Source organism: Homo sapiens, chromosome 3 (genome assembly GCF_000001405.40).
Source record: "Homo sapiens chromosome 3, GRCh38.p14 Primary Assembly".
In the NCBI taxonomy this organism is placed as follows: domain Eukaryota; kingdom Metazoa; phylum Chordata; class Mammalia; order Primates; family Hominidae; genus Homo; species Homo sapiens.
The window spans coordinates 91,140,422-91,163,366 of NC_000003.12; the positions used below are offsets into that span (position 1 = coordinate 91,140,422).

At 37.5% G+C, this 22,945-nt stretch overlaps 1 annotated feature.

The window, feature by feature from the left end:
• Nucleotides 1–22,945: part of a centromere (Linear centromere model derived predominantly from reads generated in PMID: 17803354. This region does not represent an actual centromere sequence, as long-range ordering of repeats and unmapped WGS contigs is not provided by the model. For details of model production, see http://arxiv.org/abs/1307.0035.) that runs on past both edges of the window.

Below are 22,945 nucleotides of genomic sequence, written 5' to 3' on the forward strand. Positions count from 1 at the left end.
GACCTCTTTGTGGCCTTCGTTTGAAACGTGACTGCTTCATACAAATGTAGACAGAAGAATTCTCATAAACTTCTTCGTCATGTGTGCTTTCAACTCGCAGAGTTGAAGCTTCCTTTCGATAGAGCAGTTTTGTAACCCTCTTTTTGTAGAATTTCCAAGTGGATATTTAGCGCCGTTTGAGGCCTATGGTGGAAAAGGCAATATCTTCATAGAAAAACTAGACAGAATGATTCTCAGAAACTACACTGTGATGTGTGCCTTCAACTCACAGAGTTTAATCTTCCTTTTCATAGAGCAGTTTTGAAAAACTCTTTTTGTAGAATCTGCAAGTGTATATTGGGACTTTTCTGAGGCCATCTTTGGAAACGGGATTTCTTCATATAAAACTTGAAAGAAGAATCCTCAGAAAATTATTTGTGATATGTGCATTTAGCTCATGGAGCTGAAACTTCCTTTCGATAGAAGAGCTTTGAAATACTCTTTTTGTAGAATTTCCAAGTGGATTTTTACAGCGGTTTGATGTCTATGGCAGAAAAAGAAATATCTTCACAGAAAAATTAGGCAGATTCATTCTCCGAAGCTGTTTTGTGATGCTTGCATTAAGCGGACATAGTTTAAACTTCCTTTGAGAGAGCAGTTTGGAAACACTCTTTTTGTGGAATTTGCAAGTGTATATTTAGAGCGTTTTGAGGCCTACAGTAGGAAAGGAAATATCTTCACATAAAAACTACACAGAAGTATTGTCAGAAACTTACTTGTGATATTTGCATTCAACGCACAGAGTTGAACATTCCTCTTGATGGAGCAGTTTTGAAACACTCTTTTTGCAGAATCTGCAGGTGGATATTTGGACCTCTTTGTGGCCTTCGTTTGAAACGTGATTTCTTCATTTACAACTAGACAGAAGAATTCTCAGAAACTTCTTTGTGATGTGAACCTTCAACTCACAGAGGTGAAGCTTCCTTTCAATAGAGCACTTTTGAAGCTCAGTTTTGGTAGAATTTCCAGGTGGATATTTAGCGCCGTTTGAGGTCTATGGTGGAAAAGGCAATATCTTCGTAGGAGAACTAGACAGAATGATTCTCAGAAGCTACTTTGTGATGTGTGGGTTCAACTCACTGAGTTTAACCTTTCTTTTGATAGACCAGTTATGAAACACTCTTTTTGTGGAATCTGCAAGTAAATTTTTGGACTTTTTTGAGGCCTTCATTGGAAACGGGGTTTCTTCATATAAACCTTGACAGAAGAATTCTCAGAAACTTCTCTGTGATGTGTGCATTTAACTCTCAGAGTTCAACCTTCCTTTTGATAGAAGAGTGTTGAAATATTCTTTTTGCAGAATTTCCAAGTGAATATTTAGAGCGGTCTCAGGCCTATGTGGAAGAGAAACTATCTTCACGGAAAAACTAGACATAATTGTTCTCTGAAGCTACTCTGTGATGTGCGCATTCAGCTGACAGAGTTTAACCTTTCTTTGGATAGAGCGGTTTTCAACACTCTTTTTGTGGAATTTGCAGTTCTATATTTAGAGTGCTTTCAGGCCTGTGGTACAAAAGGGAATGTCTTCACATAAAATCTAGACAGAAGCATTGTCGGAAACTACTTTGTGATACCTGCCTTCAACTCTCAGAGTTGAATGTTCCTCTTGATGGAGCAGTTTTGAAAAACTCTCTTTGTTGAATCTCCAAGTGGATATTTGGACCTCTTTGTGGCCTTCGTTTGAGACGTGACTCCTTCATACAAAACTAGACAGAAGAATTCTCATAAACTTCTTCGTGATGTGTGCTTTCAACTCGCAGCGTTGAAGCTTCCTTTCGATAGAGCAGTTCTGTAACTCTCTTTTTGTAGAATTTCCAAGTGGATATTTAGCGCCGTTTGAGGCCTATGGTGGAAAAGGCAATATCTTCATAGAAAAACTAGACAGAATGATTCTCAGAAACTACTTTGTGATGTGTGCCTTCAACTCACAGAGTTTAACCTTCCTTTTGGTAGAGCAGTTTTGAAAAACTCTTTTTGTAGAATCTGCAAGTGTATATTGGGACTTTTCTGAGGCCATCTTTGGAAACGGGATTTCTTCATATAAAACTTGAAAAAAGAATCCTCAGAAAATTATTTGTGATATGTGCATTTAACTCATGGAGTTGAAACTTCCTTTCGATAGAAGAGTTTTGAAATACTCTTTCTGTAGAATTTCCAAGTGGATTTTTACAGCGGTGTGAGGTCTATGGCAGCAAAAGAAATATCTTCACAGAAAAACTGGGCAGATTCATTCTCCGAAGCTGTTTTGCGATGCTTGCATTAAGCTTACAGAGTTTAAGCTTCCTTTGATAGAGCAGTTTTGAGACACTCTTTTTGTGGAATTTGCAAGTGTATATTTAGAGCGTTTTGAGGCCTACAGTAGGAAAGGAAATATCTTCACATAAAAACTAGACAGAAGTATTGTCAGAAACTTATTTGTGATATTTGCATTCAACGCACAGAGTTGAACATTCCTCTTGATGGAGCAGTTTTGAAACCCTCTTTTTGCAGAATCTGCAGGTGGATATTTGGACCTCTTTGTGGCCTTCGTTTGAAACGTGATTTCTTCATTTACAACTAGACAGAAGAATTCTCAGAAACTCCTTTGTGATGTGTACCTTCAACTCACAGAGGTGAAGCTTCCTTTCAATAGAGCACTTTTGAAACTCAGTTTTGGTAGAATTTCCAGGTGGATATTTTGCGCCATTTGAGGCCTATGGTAGAAAAGGCAATATCTTCGTAGGAGAACTAGACAGAATGATTCTCAGAAACAACTTTGTGATGTGTGCGTTCAACTCACGGAGTTTAACCTTTCTTTTGATAGACCAGTTATGAAACACTCTTTTTGTAGAATCTGCAAGTAAATATTTGGACTTTTTTGAGGCCTTCATTGGAAACGGGATCTCTTCATATAAACCTTGACAGAAGAATTCCCAGAAACTTCTTTGTGATGTGTGCATTTAACTCTCAGAGTTCAACCTTCCTTTTGACAGAAGAGTGTTGAAATATTCTTTTTCTAGAATTTCCAAGTGAATATTTAGAGCGGTTTCAGGCCTATGTAGAAGAGAAAATATCTTCACAGAGAAACTAGACATAATTGTTCTCTGAAGCTACTCTCTGATGTGCGCATTCAGCTGACAGAGTTTAACCTTTCTTTGGATAGAGCGCTTTTAAACACTCTTTTTGTGGAATTTGCAATTCTATAATTAGAGTGCTTTCAGGCCTGTGGTACAAAAGGGAATGTCTTCACATAAAATCTAGATAGAAGCATTGTCGGGAACTACTTTGTGATACCTGCCTTCAACTCTCAGAGTTGAATATTCCTCTTGATGGAGCAGTTTTGTAAAACTCTTTTTGTTGATTCTCCAAGGGGATATTTGGACCTCTTTGTGGCCTTCGTTTGAAACGTGACTGCTTCATACAAAAGTAGACAGAAGAATTCTCATAAACTTCTTCCTGATGTGTGCTTTCAACTCGCACCGTTGAAGCTTCCTTTCGATAGAGCAGTTTAGTAACTCTCTTTTTGTAGAATTTCCAAGTGGATATTCAGCGCCATTTGAGGCCTATGGTGGAAAAGGCAATATCTTCATAGAAAAACTAGACAGAATGATTCTCAGAAACTACTTTGTGATGTGTGCCTTCAACTCACAGAGTTTAACCTTCCTTTTGGTAGAGCAGTTTTGAAAAACTCTTTTTGTAGTATCTGCAAGTGTATATTGGGACTTTTCTGAGGCCATCTTTGGAAACGGGATTTCTTCATATAAAACTTGAAAGAAGAATCCTCAGAAAATTATTTGTGATATGTGCATTTAACTCATGGAGTTGAGGCTTCCTTTCGATAGAAAAGTTTTGAAATACTCTTTTTGTAGAATTTCCAAGTGGATTTTTACAGCGGTTTGAGGTCTATGGCAGAAAAAGAAATATCTTCACAGAAAAACTAGGCAGATTCATTCTCCGAAGCTGTTTTGTGATGCTTGCATTAAGCTGACAGAGTTTAAACTTCCTTTGATAGAGCAGTTTGGAAACACTCTTTATGTGGAATTTGCAAGTGTATATTTAGAGCGTTTTGAGGCCTACAGTAGGAAAGGAAATATCTTCACATAAAAACTAGACAGAAGTATTGTCAGAAACTTATTTGTGATATTTGCATTCAATGCACAGAGTTGAACGTTCCTCTTGATGGAGCCGTTTTGAAACACTCTTTTTGTAGAATCTGCAAGAGGATATTTGGACCTCTTTGTGGCCTTCGTGTGAAACGTGATTTCTTCATTGACAACTAGACAGAAGAATTCTCAGAAACTTCTTTGTGATGTGTACCTTCAACTCACAGAGTTGAAGCTTCCTTTCAATAGAGCACTTTTGAAACTCAGTTTTTGTAGAATTTCCAGGTGGATATTTAGCGCCGTTTGAGGCCTATGGTAGAAAAGGCAATATCTTCGTAGGAAAACTAGACAGAATGATTCTCAGAAACAACTTTGTGATGTGTGCGTTCAACTCACGGAGTTTAACCTTTCTTTTGATAGACCAGTTATGAAACACTCTTTTTGTAGAATCTGCAAGTAAATATTTGGACTTTTTTGAGGCCTTCAATGGAAACGGGATCTCTTCATATAAACCTTGACAGAAGAATTCTCAGAAACTTCTCTGTGATGTGTGCGTTTACCTCTCAGAGTTCAACCTTCCTTTTGATAGAAGAGTGTTGAAATATTCTTTTTGCAGAATTTCCAAGTGAATATTTAGAGCGGTCTCAGGCCTATGTAGAAGAGAAACTATCTTCACGGAAAAACTAGACATAATTGTTCTCTGAAGCTACTCTGTGATGTGCGCATTCAGCTGACAGAGTTTAACCTTTCTTAGGATAGAGCGGTTTTAAACCCTCTTTTTGTGGAATTTGCAATTCTGTATTTAGAGTGCTTTCAGGCCTGTGGTACAAAAGGGAATGTCTTCACATAAAATCTAGACAGAAGCATTGTCGGTAACTACTTTGTGATACATGGCTTCAACTCTCAGAGTTGAATATTCCTCTTGAAGGAGCAGTTTTGAAAAACACTTTTTGTTGAATCTCCAAGTGGATATTTGGTCCTCTTTGTGGCCTTCGTTTGAAACGTGACTGCTTCATACAAAAGTAGACAGAAGAATTCTCATAAACTACTTTGGGATGTGTGCTTGCAACTCGCAGTAGTTGAAGATTCCTTTTGATAGAGCAGCCTTGTAACTCTCTTTTTGTAGAATTTCCAAGTGGATATTTAGCGCCGTTTGAGGTCTATGGTGGAAAAGGCAATATCTTCATAGAAAAACTAGACAGAATGATTCTCAGAAACTACTTTGTGATGTGTGCTTTCAACTCACAGAGTTTAAACTTTCTTTGGATAGAGCAGTTTTGAAAAATTCTTTTTGTAGAATCTGCAAGTGTACATTGGGACTTTTCTGAGGCCATCTTTGGAAACGGGATTTCTTCATATAAAACTTGAAAGAAGAATCCTCAGAAAATTATTTGTGATATGTGTATTTAACTCATGGAGTTGAGACTTCCTTTCGATAGAAGAGTTTTGAAATACTCTTTTTGTAGAATTTCCAAGTGGATTTTTACAGCGGTTTGAGGTCTATGGCAGAAAAAGAAATATCTTCACAGAAAAACTAGGCAGATTCATTCTCCGAAGCTGTTTTGTGATGCTTGCATTCAGCTGACAGAGATTAAACTTCCTTTGATAGAGCAGTTTGGAAACACTCTTTTTGTGGTGTTTGCAAGTGTTTATTTAGAGCGTTTTGAGGCCTACAGTAGGAAAGGAAATATCTTCACATAAAAACTAGACAGAAGTATTGTCAGAAACTTATTTGTGATATTGGCATTCAACGCACAGAGTTGAACATTCCTCTTGATGGAGCAGTTTTGAAACACTCTTTTTGTAGAATCTGCATGTGGATATTTGGACCTCTTTGTGGCCTTCGTTTGAAACGTGATTTCTGCATTTACAACTAGACAGAAGAATTCTCAGAAACTTCTTTGTGATGTGTACCTTCAACTCACAGAGGTGAAGCTTCCTTTCAATAGAGCACTTTTGAAGCTCAGTTTTGGTAGAATTTCCAGGTGGATATTTAGTGCCGTTTGAGGCCTATGATAGAAAAGGCAATATCTTCGTAGGAGAACTAGACAGAATGATTCTCAGAAGCTACTTTGTGATGTGTGGGTTCAACTCACTGAGTTTAACCTTTCTTTTGATAGACCAGTTATGAAACACTCTTTTTGTGGAATCTGCAAGTAAATATTTGGACTGTTTTCAGGCCTTCATTGGAAACGGGGTTTCTTCATATAAACCTTGACAGAAGAATTCTCAGAAACTTCTCTGTGATGTGTGCGTTTAACTCTCAGAGTTCAACCTTCCTTTTGATAGAAGAGTGTTGAAATATTCTTTTTGCAGAATTTCCAAGTGAATATTTAGAGCGGTCTCAGGCCTATGTAGAAGAGAAACTATCTTCACGGAAAAACTAGACATAATTGTTCTCTGAAGCTACTCTGTGATGTGCGCATTCAGCTGACAGAGTTTAACCTTTCTTTGGATAGAGCGGTTTTAAACCCTCTTTTTGTGGAATTTGCAATTCTATATTTAGAGTGCTTTCAGGCCTGTGGTACAAAAGGGAATGTCTTCACATAAAATCTAGACAGAAGCATTGTCGGAAACTACATTGTGATACCTGCCTTCAACTCTCAGAGTTGAATATTCCTCTTGATGAAGCAGTTTTGAAAAACTCTTTTTGTTGAATCTCCAAGTGGATATTTGGACCTCTTTGTGGCCTTCGTTTGAGACGTGACTTCTTCATACAAAAGTAGACAGAAGAATTCTCATCAACTTCTTCGTGATGTGTGCTTTCAACTCGCAGCGTTGAAGCTTCCTTTCGATAGAGCAGTTCAGTAACTCTCTTTTTGTAGAATTTCCAAGTGGATATTTAGCGCCGTTTGAGGCCAATGGTGGAAAAGGCAATATCTTCATAGAAAAACTAGACAGAATGATTCTCAGAAACTACTTTGTGATGTGTGCCTTCAACTCACAGAGTTATCCTTTCTTTTGATAGAGCAGTTTTGAAAAACTCTTTTTGTAGAATCTGCAAGTGTATATTGGGACTTTTCTGAGGCCATCTTTGGAAACGGGATTTCTTCATATAAAACTTGAAAGAAGAATCCTCAGAAAATTATTTGTGATATGTGCGTTTAACTCATGGAGTTGAAACTTCCTTTCGATAGAAGAGTTTTGAAATACTCTTTTTGTAGAATTTCCAAGTGGATTTTTACAGTGGTTTGAGGTCTATGGCAGAAAAAGGAATATCTTCACAGAAAAACTAGGCAGATTCATTCTCCGAAGCTGTTTTGTGATGCTTGCATTCAGCTGACAGAGTTTAAACTTCCTTTGATAGAGCAGTTTTGAAACACTCTTTTTGTGGAATTTGCAAGTGTATATTTAGAGCGTTTTGAGGCCTACAGTAGGAAAGGAAATATCTTCACCTAAAAATTAGACAGAAGTATTGTCAGAAACATATTTGTGATATTTGCATTCAACGCACGGAGTTGAACATTCCTCTTGATGGAGCCGTTTTGAAGCACTCTTTTTGTGGAATCTGCAAGTGTATATTTGGACCTCTTTGTGGCCTTCGTGGGAAACGTGATTTCTTCATTTACAACTAGACAGAAGAATTCTCAGAAACTTCTTTGTGATGTGTACTTTCAACTGACAGAGTTGAAGCTTCCTTTCAATAGAGCACTTTTGAAACTCAGTTTCTGTAGTATTTCCAGGTGGATATTTAGCGCCGTTTGAGGCCTATGGTGGAAAATGCAATTATCTTCGTAGAAAAACTAGACAGAATGATTCTCAGAAACTACTTTGTGATGTGTGGGTTCAACTCACTGAGTTTAACCTTTCTTTTGATAGACCAGTTATGAAACACTCTTTTTGTAGAATCTGCAAGTAAATATTTGGACTTTTTTGAGGCCTTCATTGGAAATGGGATTTCTTCATATAAACCTTGACAGAAGAATTCCCAGAAACTTCTTTGTGATGTGTGCATTGAACTCTCAGAGTTCAACCTTCCTTTTGATAGAAGAGTGTTGAAATATTCTTTTTGTAAAATTTCCAAGTGAATATTTAGAGCGGTTTCAGGCCTATGTAGAAGAGAAAATATCTTCACAGAGAAACTAGACATAATTGTTCTCTGAAGCTACTTTGTGATGGGAGCCTTCAGCTGACAGTGTTTAACCTTTCTTTGGATAGAGTGGTTTTAAACACTCTTTCTGTGGAATTTGCAATTCTATATTTAGAGTGCTTTCAGGCCTGTGGTACAAAAGGGAATGTCTTCACATAAAATCTAGACAGAAGCATTGTCGGGAACTACTTTGTGATACCAGCCTTCAACTCTCAGAGTTGAATATTCCTCTTGACGGAGCAGTTTTGAAAAACTCTTTTTGTTGAATCTCCAAGTGGATATTTGGACCTCTTTGTGGCCTTCGTTTGAAACGTGACTGCTTCATACAAAAGTAGACAGAAGAATTCTCATAAACTTCTTCGTGATGTGTGCTTTCAACTCGCAGCGTTGAAGCTTCCTTTCGATAGAGCAGTTTAGTAACTCTCTTTTTGTAGAATTTCCAAGTGGATATTTAGCGCCGTTTGAGGCCTATGGTGGAAAAGGCAATATCTTCATAGAAAAACTAGACAGAATGATTCTCAGAAACTACTCTGTGACGTGTGCCTTCAACTCACAGAGTTTAACCTTCCTTTTGATAGAGCAGTTTTGAAAAACTCTTTTTGTAGAATCTGCAAGTGTATATTGGGACTTTTCTGAGGCCATCTTTGGAAACGGGATTTCTTCATATAAAACTTGAAAGAAGAATCCTCAGAAAATTAATTGTGATATGTGTATTTAACTCATGGAGCTGAAACTTCCTTTCGATAGAAGAGCTTTGAAATACTCTTTTTGTAGAATTTCCAAGTGGATTTTTACAGCGGTTTGAGGTCTATGGCAGAAAAAGAAATATCTTCACAGAAAAACTAGGCAGATTCATTCTCCGAAGCTGTTTTGTGATGCTTGCATTAAGCGGACAGAGTTTAAACTTCCTTTGATAGAGCAGTTTGGAAACACTCTTTTTGTGGAATTTGCAAGTGTATCTTTAGAGCGTTTTGAGGCTTACAGTAGGAAAGGAAATATCTTCACATAAAAACTACACAGAAGTATTGTCAGAAACTTATTTGTGATATTTGCATTCAACGCACAGAGTTGAACATTCCTCTTGATGGAGCCGTTTTGAGACACTCTTTTTGTAGAATCTGCAAGTGGATATTTGGACCTCTTTGTGGCCTTCGTGTGAAACGTGATTTCTTCATTGACAACTAGACAGAAGAATTCTCAGAAACTTCTTTGTGATGTGTACCTTCAACTCACAGAGGTGAAGCTTCCTTTCAATAGAGCACTTTTGAAGCTCAGTTTTGGTAGAATTTCCAGGTGGATATTTAACGCCGTTTGAGGCCTATGGTAGAAAAGGCAATATCTTCGTAGGAGAACTAGACAGAATGATTCTCAGAAGCTACTTTGTGATGTGTGGGTTCAACTCACTGAGTTTAACCTTTATTTGATAGACCAGTTATGAAACACTCTTTTTGTGGAATCTGCAAGTAAATATTTGGACTTTTTTGAGGCCTTCATTGGAAACGGGGTTTCTTCATATAAACCTTGACAAAAGAATTTCCAGAAACTTCTCTGTGATGTGTGCATTTAACTCTCAGAGTTCAACCTTCCTTTTGATAGAAGAGGGTTGAAATATTCTTTTTGTAGAATTTCCAAGTGAATATTTAGAGCGGTTTCAGGCCTAAGTAGAAGAGAAAATATCTTCACAGAAAAACTAGACATAATTGTTCTCTGAAGCTACTCTGTGATGTGCGCATTCAGCTGACAGAGTTTAACCTTTCTTAGGATAGAGCGGTTTTAAACCCTCTTTTTGTGGAATTTGCAATTCTGTATTTAGAGTGCTTTCAGGCCTGTGGTACAAAAGGGAATGTCTTCACATAAAATCTAGACAGAAGCATTGTCGGAAACTACTTTGTGATACCTGCCTTCAACTCTCAGAATTGAATGTTCCTCTTGATGGAGCAGTTTTGAAAAACTCTTTTTGTTGAATCTCCAAGTGGATATTTGGACCTCTTTGTGGCCTTCATTTGAGACGTGACTTCTTCATACAAAAGTAGACAGAAGAATTCTCATAAACTTCTTCGTGATGTGTGCTTTCAACTCGCAGAGTTGAAGCTTCCTTTCGATAGAGCAGTCTTGTAACACTCTTTTTGTAGAATTTCCAAGTGGATATTTAGCGCCGCTTGAGGCCTATGGTGGAGAAGGCGATATCTTCATAGAAAAACTAGACAGAATGATTCTCAGAAACTACGTTGTGATGTGTGCCTTCAACTCACAGAGTTTAACCTTCCTTTTGGTAGAGCAGTTTTGAAAAACGCTTTTTGTAGAATCTGCAAGTGTATATTGGGACTTTTCTGAGGCCATCTTTGGAAACGGGATTTCTTCATATAAAACTTGAAAGAAGAATCCTTAGAAAATTATTTGCGATATGTGCATTTAACTCATGGAGTTGAAACTTCCTTTCGATAGAAGAGTTTTGAAATACTCTTTTTGTAGAATTTCCAAGTGGATTTTTACAGCGGTTTGAGGTCTATGGCAGCAAAAGGAATATCTTCACAGAAAAACTAGGCAGATTCATTCTCCGAAGCTGTTTTGTGATGCTTGCATTCAGCTGACAGAGTTTAAACTTCCTTTGATAGAGCAGTTTTGAAACACTCTTTTTGTGGAATTTGCAAGTGTATATTTAGAGCGTTTTGAGGCCTACAGTAGGAAAGGAAATATCTTCACCTAAAAACTAGACAGAAGTATTGTCAGAAACTTATTTGTGATATTGGCATTCAATGCACAGAGTTGAACATTCCTCTTGATGGAGCAGTTTTGAAACACTCTTTTTGTAGAATCTGCATGTGGATATTTGGACCTCTTTGTGGCCTTCGTTTGAAACGTGATTTCTGCATTTACAACTAGTCAGAAGAATTCTCAGAAACTTCTTTGTGATGTGTACCTTCAACTCACAGAGTTGAAGCTTCCTTTCAATAGAGCACCTTAGAAACTCAGTTTTTGTAGAATTTCCAGGTGGATATTTAGCGCCGTTTGAGGCCTATGGTAGAAAAGGCAATATCTTCGTAGGAGGACTAGACAGAATGATTCTCAGAAACTACTTTGTGATGTGTGGGTTCAACTCACTGAGTTTAACCTTTCTTTTGATAGACCAGTTATGAAACACTCTTTTTGTAGAATCTGCAAGTAAATATTTGGACTTTTTTGAGGCCTTCATTGGAAACGGGATTTCTTCATAGAAACCTTGACAGAAGAATTCTCAGAAACTTCTCTGTGATGTGTGCGTTTAACTCTCAGAGTTCAACCTTCCTTTTGATAGAAGAGTGTTGAAATATTCTTTTTGCAGAATTTCCAAGTGAATATTTAGAGCGGTCTCAGGCCTATGTGGAAGAGAAACTATCTTCACGGAAAAACTAGACATAATTGTTCTCTGAAGCTACTTTGTGATGTGCGCATTCAGCTTACAGAGTTTAACCTTTCTTTGGATCGAGCGGTTTTAAACACTCTTTTTGTGGAATTTGCAATTCTATATTTAGAGTGCTTTCAGGCCTGTGGTACAAAAGGGAATGTCCTCACATAAAATCTAGACAGAAGCATTGTCGGAAACTACTTTGTGATTCCTGCCTTCAACTCTCAGAGTTGAATATTCCTCTTGATGGAGCAGTTTTGAAAAACTCTTTTTGTTGAATCTCCAAGTGGATATTTGGACCTCTTTGTGGCCTTCGTTTGAGACGTGACTTCTTCATACAAAAGTAGACAGAAGAATTCTCATCAACTTCTTCGTGATGTGTGCTTTCAACTCGCAGCGTTGAAGCTTCCTTTCGATAGAGCAGTTCTGTAACTCTCTTTTTGTAGAATTTCCAAGTGGATATTTAGCGCCGTTTGAGGCCAATGGTGGAAAAGGCAATATCTTCATAGAAAAACTAGACAGAATGATTCTCAGAAACTACTTTGTGATGTGTGCCTTCAACTCACAGAATTTAACCTTTCTTTTGATAGAGCAGTTTTGAAAAACTCTTTTTGTAGAATCTGCAAGTGTATATTTGGACTTTTCTGAGGCCATCTTTGGAAACGGGATTTCTTCATATAAAACTTGAAAGAAGAATCCTCAGAAAATTATTTGTGATATGTGCATTTAACTCATGGGAGTTGAAACTTCCTTTCGATAGAAGAGTTTTGAAATACTCTTTTTGTAGAATTTCCAAGTGGATTTTTACAGCGGTGTGAGGTCTATGGCAGGAAAAGAAATATCTTCACAGAAAAACTAGGCAGATTCATTCTCCGAAGCTGTTTTGCGATGCTTGCATTAAGCTTACAGAGTTTAAGCTTCCTTTGATAGAGCAGTTTTGAGACACTCTTTTTGTGGAATTTGCAATGTGTATATTTAGAGCGTTTTGAGGCCTACAGTAGGAAAGGAAATATCTTCACATAAAAACTAGACAGAAGTATTGTCAGAAACTTATTTGTGATATTTGCATTCAACGCACAGAGTTGAACATTCCTCTTGATGGAGCAGTTTTGAAACCCTCTTTTTGCAAAATCTGCAGGTGGATATTTGGACCTCTTTGTGGCCTTCGTTTGAAACGTGATTTCTTCATTTACAACTAGACAGAAGAATTCTCAGAAACTTCTTTGTGATGTGTATCTTCAACTCACAGTGTTGAAGCTTCCTTTCAATAGAGCACTTTTGAAACTCAGTTTTTGTAGAATTTCCAGGTGGATATTTAGCGCCGTTTGAGGCCTATGGTAGAAAAGGCAATATCTTCGTAGGAAAACTAGACAGAATGATACTCAGAAACTACTTTGTGATGTGTGGGTTCAACTCACTGAGTTTAACCTTTCTTTTGATAGACCAGTTATGAAACACTCTTTTTGTAGAATCTGCAAGTAAATATTTGGACTTTTTTGAGGCCTTCATTGGAAACGGGATTTCTTCATAGAAACCTTGACAGAAGAATTCCCAGAAACTTCTCTGTGATGTGTGCATTTAACTCTCAGAGTTCAACCTTCCTTTTGATTGAAGAGGTTTGGAATATTCTTTTTGTAGAATTTCCACGTGAATATTTAGAGCGGTTTCAGGCCTATGTAGAAGATAAAATATCTTCACAGAAAAACTAGACATAACTGTTCTCTGAAGCTGCTCTGTGATGTGCGCATTCAGCTGACAGATTTTAACCTTTCTTTGGATAGAGCGGTTTTCAACAATATTTTGTGGAATTTGCAATTCTATATATAGAGGGCTTTCAGGCATGTGGTACAAAAGGGAATGTCTTCACATAAAATCTAGACAGAAGCATTGTCGGGAACTATTTTGGCATACCTTCCTTCAACTCTCAGAGTTGAATATTCCTCTTGATGGAGCAGTTTTGAAAAACTCTTTTTGTTGAATCTCCAAGTGGATATTTGGACCTCTTTGTGGCCTTCGTTTGAAACGTGAGTGCTTCATACAAAAGTAGACAGAAGAATTCTCATAAACTACTTCGTGATGTGTGCTTTCCACTCGCAGAGTTGAAGCTTCCTTTCGATAGAGCAGTCTTGTAACTCTCTTTTTGTAGAATTTCCAAGTGGATATTTAGCGCCGTTTGAGGCCTATGGTGGAGAAGGCGATATCTTCATAGAAAAACTAGACAGAATGATTCTCAGAAACTACTTTGTGATGTGTGCCTTCAACTCACAGAGTTTAACCTTCCTTTTGGTAGAGCAGTTTTGAAAAACTCTTTTTGTAGAATCTGCAAGTGTATATTGGGACTTTTCTGAGGCCATCTTTGGAAACGGGATTTCTTCATATAAAACGTGAAAGAAGAATCCTCAGAAAATTATTTGTGATATGTGCATTTAACTCATGGAGTTGAGAATTCCTTTCGATAGAAGAGTTTTGAAATACTCTTTTTGTAGAATTTCCAAGTGGATTTTTACAGCGGTTTGAGGTCTATGGCAGAAAAAGAAATATCTTCACAGAAAAACTAGGCAGATTCATTCTCCGAAGCTGTTTTGTGATGCTTGCATTAAGCTGACAGAGTTTAAACTTCCTTTGATAGAGCAGTTTGGAAACACTCTTTTTGTGGAATTTGCAAGTGTATATTTAGAGCGTTTTGAGGCCTACAGTAGGAAAGGAAATATCTTCACATAAAAACTAGACAGAAGTATTGTCAGAAACTTACCTGTGATATTTGCATTCAACGCACAGAGTTGAACATTCCTCTTGATGGAGCAGTTTTGAAACACTCTTTTTGCAGAATCTGCAGGTGGATATTTGGACCTCTTTGTGGCCTTCGTTTGAAACGTGATTTCTTCATTTACAACTAGACAGAAGAATTCTCAGAAACTTCTTTGTGATGTGTACCTTCAACTCACAGAGGTGAAGCTTCCTTTCAATAGAGCACTTTTGAAGCTCAGTTTTGGTAGAATTTCCAGGTGGATATTTAGCGCCGTTTGAGGCCTATGGTAGAAAAGGCAATATCTTCGTAGGAGAACTAGACAGAATGATTCTCAGAAGCTACTTTGTGATGTGTGGGCTCAACTCACTGAGTTTAACCTTTCTTTTGATAGACCAGTTATGAAACACTCTTTCTGTGGAATCTGCAAGTAAATATTTAGACTTTTTTGAGCCCTTCATTGGAAACGGGGTTTCCTCATATAAACCTTGACAGAAGAATTCTCAGAAACTTCTCTGTGATGTGTGCATTTAACTCTCAGAGTTCAACCTTCCTTTTGATAGAAGAGTGTTGAAATATTCTTTTTGTAGAATTACCAAGTGAATATTTAGAGCGGTTTCAGGCCTATGTAGAAGAGAAACTATCTTCACAGAAAAACTAGACATAATTGTTCTCTGAAGCTGCTCTGTGATGTGCGCATTCAGCTGACAGATTTTAACCTTTCTTTGGATAGAGCGGTTTTCAACAATATTTTGTGGAATTTGCAATTCTATATTTAGAGGGCTTTCAGGCCTGTGGTACAAAAGGGAATGTCTTCACATAAAATCTAGACAGAAGCATTGTCGGGAACTACTTTGTGATACCTGCCTTCAACTCTCAGAGTTGAATATTCCTCTTGATGGAGCAGTTTTGTAAAACACTTTTGGTTGAATCTCCAAGTGGATATTTGGACCTCTTCGTGGCCTTCGTTTGAAACGTGACTGCTTCATACAAAAGTAGACAGAAGAATTCTGATAAACTTCTTCGTGATGTGTGCTTTCAAGTCGCAGCGTTGAAGCTTCCTTTCGATAGAGCAGTTTAGTAACTCTCTTTTTGTAGAATTTCCAAGTGGATATTTAGCGCCGTTTGAGGCCTATGGTGGAAAAGGCAATATCTTCATAGAAAAACTAGTCAGAATGATTCTCAGAAACTACTTTGTGATGTGTGCCTTCAACTCACAGAGTTTAACCTTTCTTTGGATAGAGCAGTTTTGAAAAACTCTTTTTGTAGAATCTGCAAGGGTATATTGGGACTTTTCTGAGGCCATCTTTGGAAACAGGATTTCTTCATATAAAACTTCAAAGAAGAATCCTCAGAAAATTATTTGTGATATGTGCATTTAACTCATGGAGTTGAAACTTCCTTTCGATAGAAGAGTTTTGAAATACTCTTTTTGTAGAATTTCCAAGTGGATTTTTACAGCGGTGTGAGGTCTATGGCAGAAAAAGAAATATCTTCACAGAAAAACTAGGCAGATTCATTCTCTGAAGCTGTTTTGTGATGCTTGCATTCAGCTGACAGAGTTTAAACTTCATTTGATAGAGCAGTTTGGAAACACTCTTTTTGTGGAATTTGCAAGTGTATATTTAGAGCGTTTTGAGGCCTACAGTAGGAAAGGAAATATCTTCACCTAAAAACTAGACAGACAAGTATTGTCAGAAACTTATTTGTGATATTTGCATTCAACGCACGGAGTTGAACATTCCTCTTGATGGAGCCGTTTTGAAGCACTCTTTTTGTGGAATCTGCAAGTGGATATTTGGACCTCTTTGTGGCCTTCGTGGGAAACGTGATTTCTTCATTTACAACTAGACAGAAGAATTCTCAGAAACTTCTTTGTGATGTGTACTTTCAACTCACAGAGTTGAAGCTTCCTTTCAATAGAGCACTTTTGAAACTCAGTTTCTGTAGAATTTCCAGGTGGATATTTAGCGCCGTTTGAGGCCTATGGTGGAAAAGGCAATATCTTCGTAGAAAAACTAGACAGAATGATTCTCAGACACTACTTTGTGATGTGTGGGTTCAACTCACTGAGTTTAACCTTTCTTTTGATAGACCAGTTATGAAACACTCTTTTTGTAGAATCTGCAAGTAAATATTTGGACTTTCTTGAGGCCTTCATTGGAAACGGGATTTCTTCATATAAGCCTTACCAGAAGAATTCTCAGAAACTTCTCTGTGATGTGTGCGTTTAACTCTCAGAGTTCAACATTCCTTTTGATAGAAGAGTGTTGAAATATTCTTTTTGTAGAATTTCCAAGTGAATATTTAGAGCGGTTTCAGGCCTATGTAGAAGAGAAACTATCTTCACAGAAAAACTTGACATAATTGTTCTCTGAAGCTTCTTTGTGATGTGCGCATTCAGCTTACAGAGTTTAACCTTTCTTTGGATCGAGCGGTTTTAAACACTCTTTTTGTGGAATTTGCAATTCTATATTTAGAGTGCTTTCAGGCCTGTGGTACAAAAGGGAATGTCTTCACATAAAATCTAGACAGACGCATTGTCGGAAACTGTATTGTGATACCTGCCTTCAACTCTCAGAGTTGAATATTCCTCTTGATGGAGCAGTTTTGAAAAACTCTTTTTGTTGAATCTCCAAGTGGATATTTGGACCTCTTTGTGGCCTTCGTTTGAAACGTGACTTCTTCATACAAAACTAGACAGAAGAATTCCCATAAACTTCTTTGTGATGTGTGCTTTCAACTCGCAGAGTTGAAGCTTCCTTTCGATAGAGCAGCCTTGTAACTCTCTTATTGAAGAATTTCCAAGTGGATATTTAGCGCCGTTTGAGGCCTATGGTGGAAAAGGCAATATCTTCATAGAAAAACTAGACAGAATGATTCTCAGAAACTACTCTGTGATGTGTGCCTTAAACTCACAGAGTTTAACCTTCCTTTTGATAGAGCAGTTTTGAAAAACTCTTTTTGTAGAATCTGCAAGTGTATATTGGGACTTTTCTGAGGCCATCTTTGGAAACGGGATTTCTTCATATAAAACTTGAAAGAAGAATCCTCAGAAAATTATTTGTGATATGTGCATTTAACTCATGGATTTGAAACTTCCTTTCGATAGAAGAGCTTTGAAATACTCTTTTTGTAGAATTTCCAAGTGGATTTTTACAGCGGTTTGAGGTCTATGGCAGGAAAAGAAATATCTTCACAGAAAAACTAGGCAGATTCATTCTCCGAAGCTGTTTTGTGATGCTTGCATTAAGCGGACAGAGTTTAAACCTCCTTTGATAGAGCAGTTTGGAAACACTCTTTTTGTGGAATTTGCAAGTGTATATTTAGAGCGTTTTGAGGCCTACAGTAGGAAAGGAAATATCTTCACATAAAAACTATACAGAAGTATTGTCAGAAACTTATTTGTGATATTTGCGTTCAACGCACGGAGTTGAACATTCCTCTTGATGGAGCCGTTTTGAAGCACTCTTTTTGTGGAATCTGCAAGTGGATATTTGGACCTCTTTGTGGCCTTCGTGTGAAACGTGATTTCTTCATTTACAACTAGACAGAAGAATTCTCAGAAACTTCTTTGTGATGTGTACCTTCAACCCACAGAGGTGAAGCTTCCTTTCAATAGAGCACTTTTGAAACTCAGTTTTGGTAGAATTTCCAGGTGGATATTTAGCGCCGTTTGAGGCCTATTGTAGAAAAGGCAATATCTTCGTAGGAGAACTAGACAGAATGATTCTCAGAAGCTACTTTGTGATGTGTGGGTTCATCTCACTGAGTTTCACCTTTCTTTTGATAGGCCAGTTATGAAACACTCTTTTTGTGGAATCTGCAAGTAAATATTTGGACTTTTTTGAGGCCTTCATTGGAAACGGGGTTTCCTCGTATAAACCTTGACAGAAGAATTCTCAGAAACTTCTCTGTGATGTGTGCGTTTAACTCTCAGAGTTCAACCTTCCTTTTGATAGAAGAGTGTTGAAATATTCTTTTTGTAGAATTTCCAAGGGAATATTTAGAGCGGTCTCAGGCCTATGTAGAAGAGAATCTATCTTCACAGAAAAACTAGACAAAATTGTTCTCTGAAGCTACTCTGTGATGTGCGCATTCAGCTGACAGAGTTTAACCTTTCTTAGGATAGAGCGGTTTTAAACCCTCTTTTTGTGGAATTTGCAATTCTGTATTTAGAGTGCTTTCAGGCCTGTGGTACAAAAGGGAATGTCTTCACATAAAATCTAGACAGAAGCATTGCCGGGAACTACTTTGTGATACCTGCCTTCAACTCTCAGAGTTGAATATTCCTCTTGACGGAGCAGTTTTGAAAAACTCTTTTTGTTGAATCTCCAAATGGATATTTGGACCTCTTTGTGGCCTTCGTTTGAAACGTGACTGCTTCATACAAAAGTAGACAGAAGAATTCTCATAAACTTCTTCGTGATGTGTGCTTTCAACTCGCAGCGTTGAAGCTTCCTTTCGATAGAGCAGTTTTGTAACTCTCTTTTCGTAGAATTTCCAAGTGGATATTTAGCGCCGTTTGAGGCCTATGGTGGAAAAGGCAATATCTACATAGAAAAATTAGACAGAATGATTCTCAGAAACTACTTTGTGATGTGTGCCTTCAACTCACAGAGTTTAACCTTCCTTTTGGTAGAGCAGTTTTGAAAAACTCTTTTTTTAGAATCTGCAAGTGTATATTGGGACTTTTCTGAGGCCATCTTTGGAAACGGGATTTCTTCATATAAAACTTGAAAGAAGAATCCTGAGAAAATTATTTGTGATATCTGCATTTAACTCATGGAGTTGAGACTTCCTTTCGATAGAAGAGTTTTGAAATACTGTTTTTGTAGAATTTCCAAGTGGATTTTTACAGCGGTTTGAGGTCTATGGCAGAAAAAGAAATATCTTCACAGAAAAACTAGGCAGATTCATTCTCTGAAGCTGTTTTGTGATGCTTGCATTAACCTGACAGAGTTTAAACTTCCTTTGATAGAGCAGTTTGGAAACACTCTTTTTGTGGAATTTGCAAGTGTATATTTAGAGCCTTTTGAGGCCTACAGTAGGAAAGTAAATATCTTCACATAAAAACTAGACAGAAGTATTGTCAGAAACTTACTTATGATATTTGCATTCAACGCACAGAGTTGAACATTCCTCTTGATGGAGCAGTTTTGAAACCCTCTTTTTGCAGAATCTGCAGGTGGATATTTGGACCTCTTTGTGGCCTTCGTTTGAAACGTGATTTCTTCATTTACAACTAGACAGAAGAATTCTCAGAAACTTCTTTGTGATGTGTACCTTCAACTCACAGAGTTGAAGCTTCCTTTCAATAGAGCACTTTTGAAACTCAGTTTTTGTAGAATTTCCAGGTGGATATTTAGCGCCGTTTGAGGCCTATGGTAGAAAAGGCAATATCTTCGTAGGAAAACTAGACAGAATGATTCTCAGAAACTACTTTGTGATGTGTGGGTTCAACTCACTGAGTTTAACCTTTGTTTTGATAGACCAGTTACGAAACACTGTTTTTGTAGAATCTGCAAGTAAATATTTGGACTTTTTTGAGGCCTTCATTGGAAACGGGATTTCTTCATAGAAACCTTGACAGAAGAATTCTCAGAAACTTCTCTGTGATGTGTGCGTTTACCTCTCAGAGTTCAACCATCCTTTTGATAGAAGAGTGTTTAAATATTCTTTTTGCAGAATTTCCAAGTGAATATTTAGAGCGGTCTCAGGCCTATGTAGAAGAGAAACTATCTTCACGGAAAAACTAGACATAATTGTTCTCTGAAGCTACTCTGTGATGTGCGCATTCAGCTGACAGAGTTTAACCTTTCTTTGGATAGAGCGGTTTTAAACACTCTTTTTGTGGAATTTGCAATTCTATATTTAGAGTGCTTTCAGGCCTGTGGTACAAAAGGGAATGTCTTCACATAAAATCTAGACAGAAGCATTGTCGGGAACTACATTGGGATACATGCCTTCAACTCTCAGAGTTGAATATTCCTCTTGATGGAGCAGTTTTGAAAAACTCTTTTTGTTGAATCTCCAAGTGGATATTTGGACCTCTTTGTGGCCTTCGTTTGAAACGTGACTTCTTCATACAAAAGTAGACAGAAGAATTCTCATAAACTTCTTCGTGATGTGTGCTTTCAACTCGCAGCGTTGAAGCTTCCTTTCGATAGAGCAGTTTAGTAACTCTCTTTTTGTAGAATTTCCAAGTGGATATTTAGCGCCGTTTGAGGCCTATGGTGGAAAAGGCAATATCTTCATAGAAAAACTAGACAGAATGATTCTCAGAAACTACTCTGTGATGTGTGCCTTCAACTCACAGAGTTTAACCTTCCTTTTGATAGAGCAGTTTTGAAAAACTCTTTTTGTAGAATCTGCAAGTGTATATTGGGACTTTTCTGAGGCCAACTTTCGAAACGGGATTTCTTCATATAAAACTTGAAAGAAGAATCCTCAGAGAATTATTTGTGATATGTGCATTTAACTCATGGAGTTGAAACTTCCTTTCGATAGAAGAGCTTTGAAATACTCTTTTTGTAGAATTTCCAAGTGGATTTTTACAGCGGTTTGAGGTCTATGGCAGAAAAAGAAATATCTTCACAGAAAAACTAGGCAGATTCATTCTCCGAAGCTGTTTTGTGATGCTTGCATTAAGCTGACAGAGTTTAAACTTCCTTTGATAGAGCAGTTTGGAAACACTCTTTTTGTGGAATTTGCAAGTGTATATTTAGAGCGTTTTGAGGCCTACAGTAGGAAAGGAAATATCTTCACATAAAAACTAGACAGAAGTATTGTCAGAAACTTATTTGTGATATTTGCATTCAACGCACAGAGTTGAACGTTCCTCTTGATGGAGCCGTTTTGAAACACTCTTTTTGTAGAATCTGCAAGTGGATATTTGGACCTCTTTGTGGCCTTCGTGTGAAACGTGATTTCTTCATTGACAACTAGACAGAAGAATTCTCAGAAACTTCTTTGTGATGTGTACCTTCAACTCACAGAGTTGAAGCTTCCTTTCAATAGAGCACTTTTGAAACTCAGTTTTTGTAGAATTTCCAGGTGGATATTTAGCGCCGTTTGAGGCCTATGGTAGAAAAGGCAATATCTTCGTAGGAAAACTAGACACAATGATTCTCAGAAGCTAATTTGTGATGTGTGGGTTCAACTCACTGAGTTTCACCTTTCTTTTGATAGACCAGTTATGAAACACTCTTTTTGTGGAATCTGCAAGTAAATATTTGGACTTTTTTGAGGCCTTCATTGGAAACGGGGTTTCCTCATATAAACCTTGACAGAAGAATTCTCAGAAACTTCTTTGTGATGTGTGCATTTAACTCTCAGAGTTCAACCTTCCTTTTGATAGAAGAGTGTTGAAATATTCTTTTTGTAGTATTTCCAAGTGAATATTTAGAGCGGTTTCAGGCCTATGTAGAAGAGGAAATATCTTCACAGAAAAACTAGACATAATTGTTCTCTGAAGCTACTTTGTGATGTGCGCATTCAGCTTACAGAGTTTAACCTTTCTTTGGATCGAGCGGTTTTAAACACTCTTTTTGTGGAACTTGCAATTCTATATTTAGAGTGCTTTCAGGCCTGTGGTACAAAAGGGAATGTCCTCACATAAAATCTAGACAGAAGCATTGTCGGAAACTACTTTGTGATACCTGCCTTCAACTCTCAGAGTTGAATGTTCCTCTTGATGGAGCAGTTTTGAAAAACTCTCTTTGTTGAATCTCCAAGTGGATATTTGGACCTCTTTGTGGCCTTCGTTTGAGACGTGACTGCTTCATACAAAACTAGACAGAAGAATTCTCATCAACTTCTTCGTGATGTGTGCTTTCAACTCGCAGCGTTGAAGCTTCCTTTCGATAGAGCAGTTCTGTAACTCTCTTTTTGTAGAATTTCCAAGTGGATATTTAGCGCCGTTTGAGGCCAATGGTGGAAAAGGCAATATCTTCATAGAAAAACTAGACAGAATGATTCTCAGAAACTACTCTGTGATGTGTGCCTTCAACTCACAGAGTTTAACCTTCCTTTTGATAGAGCAGTTTTGAAAAACTCTTTTTGTAGAATCTGCAAGTGTATATTGGGAGTTTTCTGAGGCCATCTTTGGAAACGGGATTTCTTCATATAAATCTTGAAAGAAGAATCCTCAGAAAATTATTTGTGATATGTGCATTTAACTCATGGAGTTGAAACTTCCTTTCGATAGAAGAGTTTTGACATCCTCTTTTTGTAGAATTTCCAAGTGGATTTTTACAGCGGTTTGAGGTCTATGGCAGAAAAAGAAATATCTTCACAGAAAAACTAGGCAGATTCATTCTCCGAAGCTGTTTTGTGATGCTTGCATTAAGCTGACAGAGTTTAAACTTCCTTTGATAGAGCAGTTTGGAAACACTCTTTTTGTGGAATTTGCAAGTGTATATTTAGAGCGTTTTGAGGCCTACAGTAGGAAAGGAAATATCTTCACCTAAAAACTAGACAGAAGTATTGTCAGAAACTTATTTGTGATATTTGCATTCAACGCACAGAGTTGAACATTCCTCTTGATGGAGCAGATTTGAAACCCTCTTTTTGCAGAATCTGCAGCTGGATATTTGGACCTA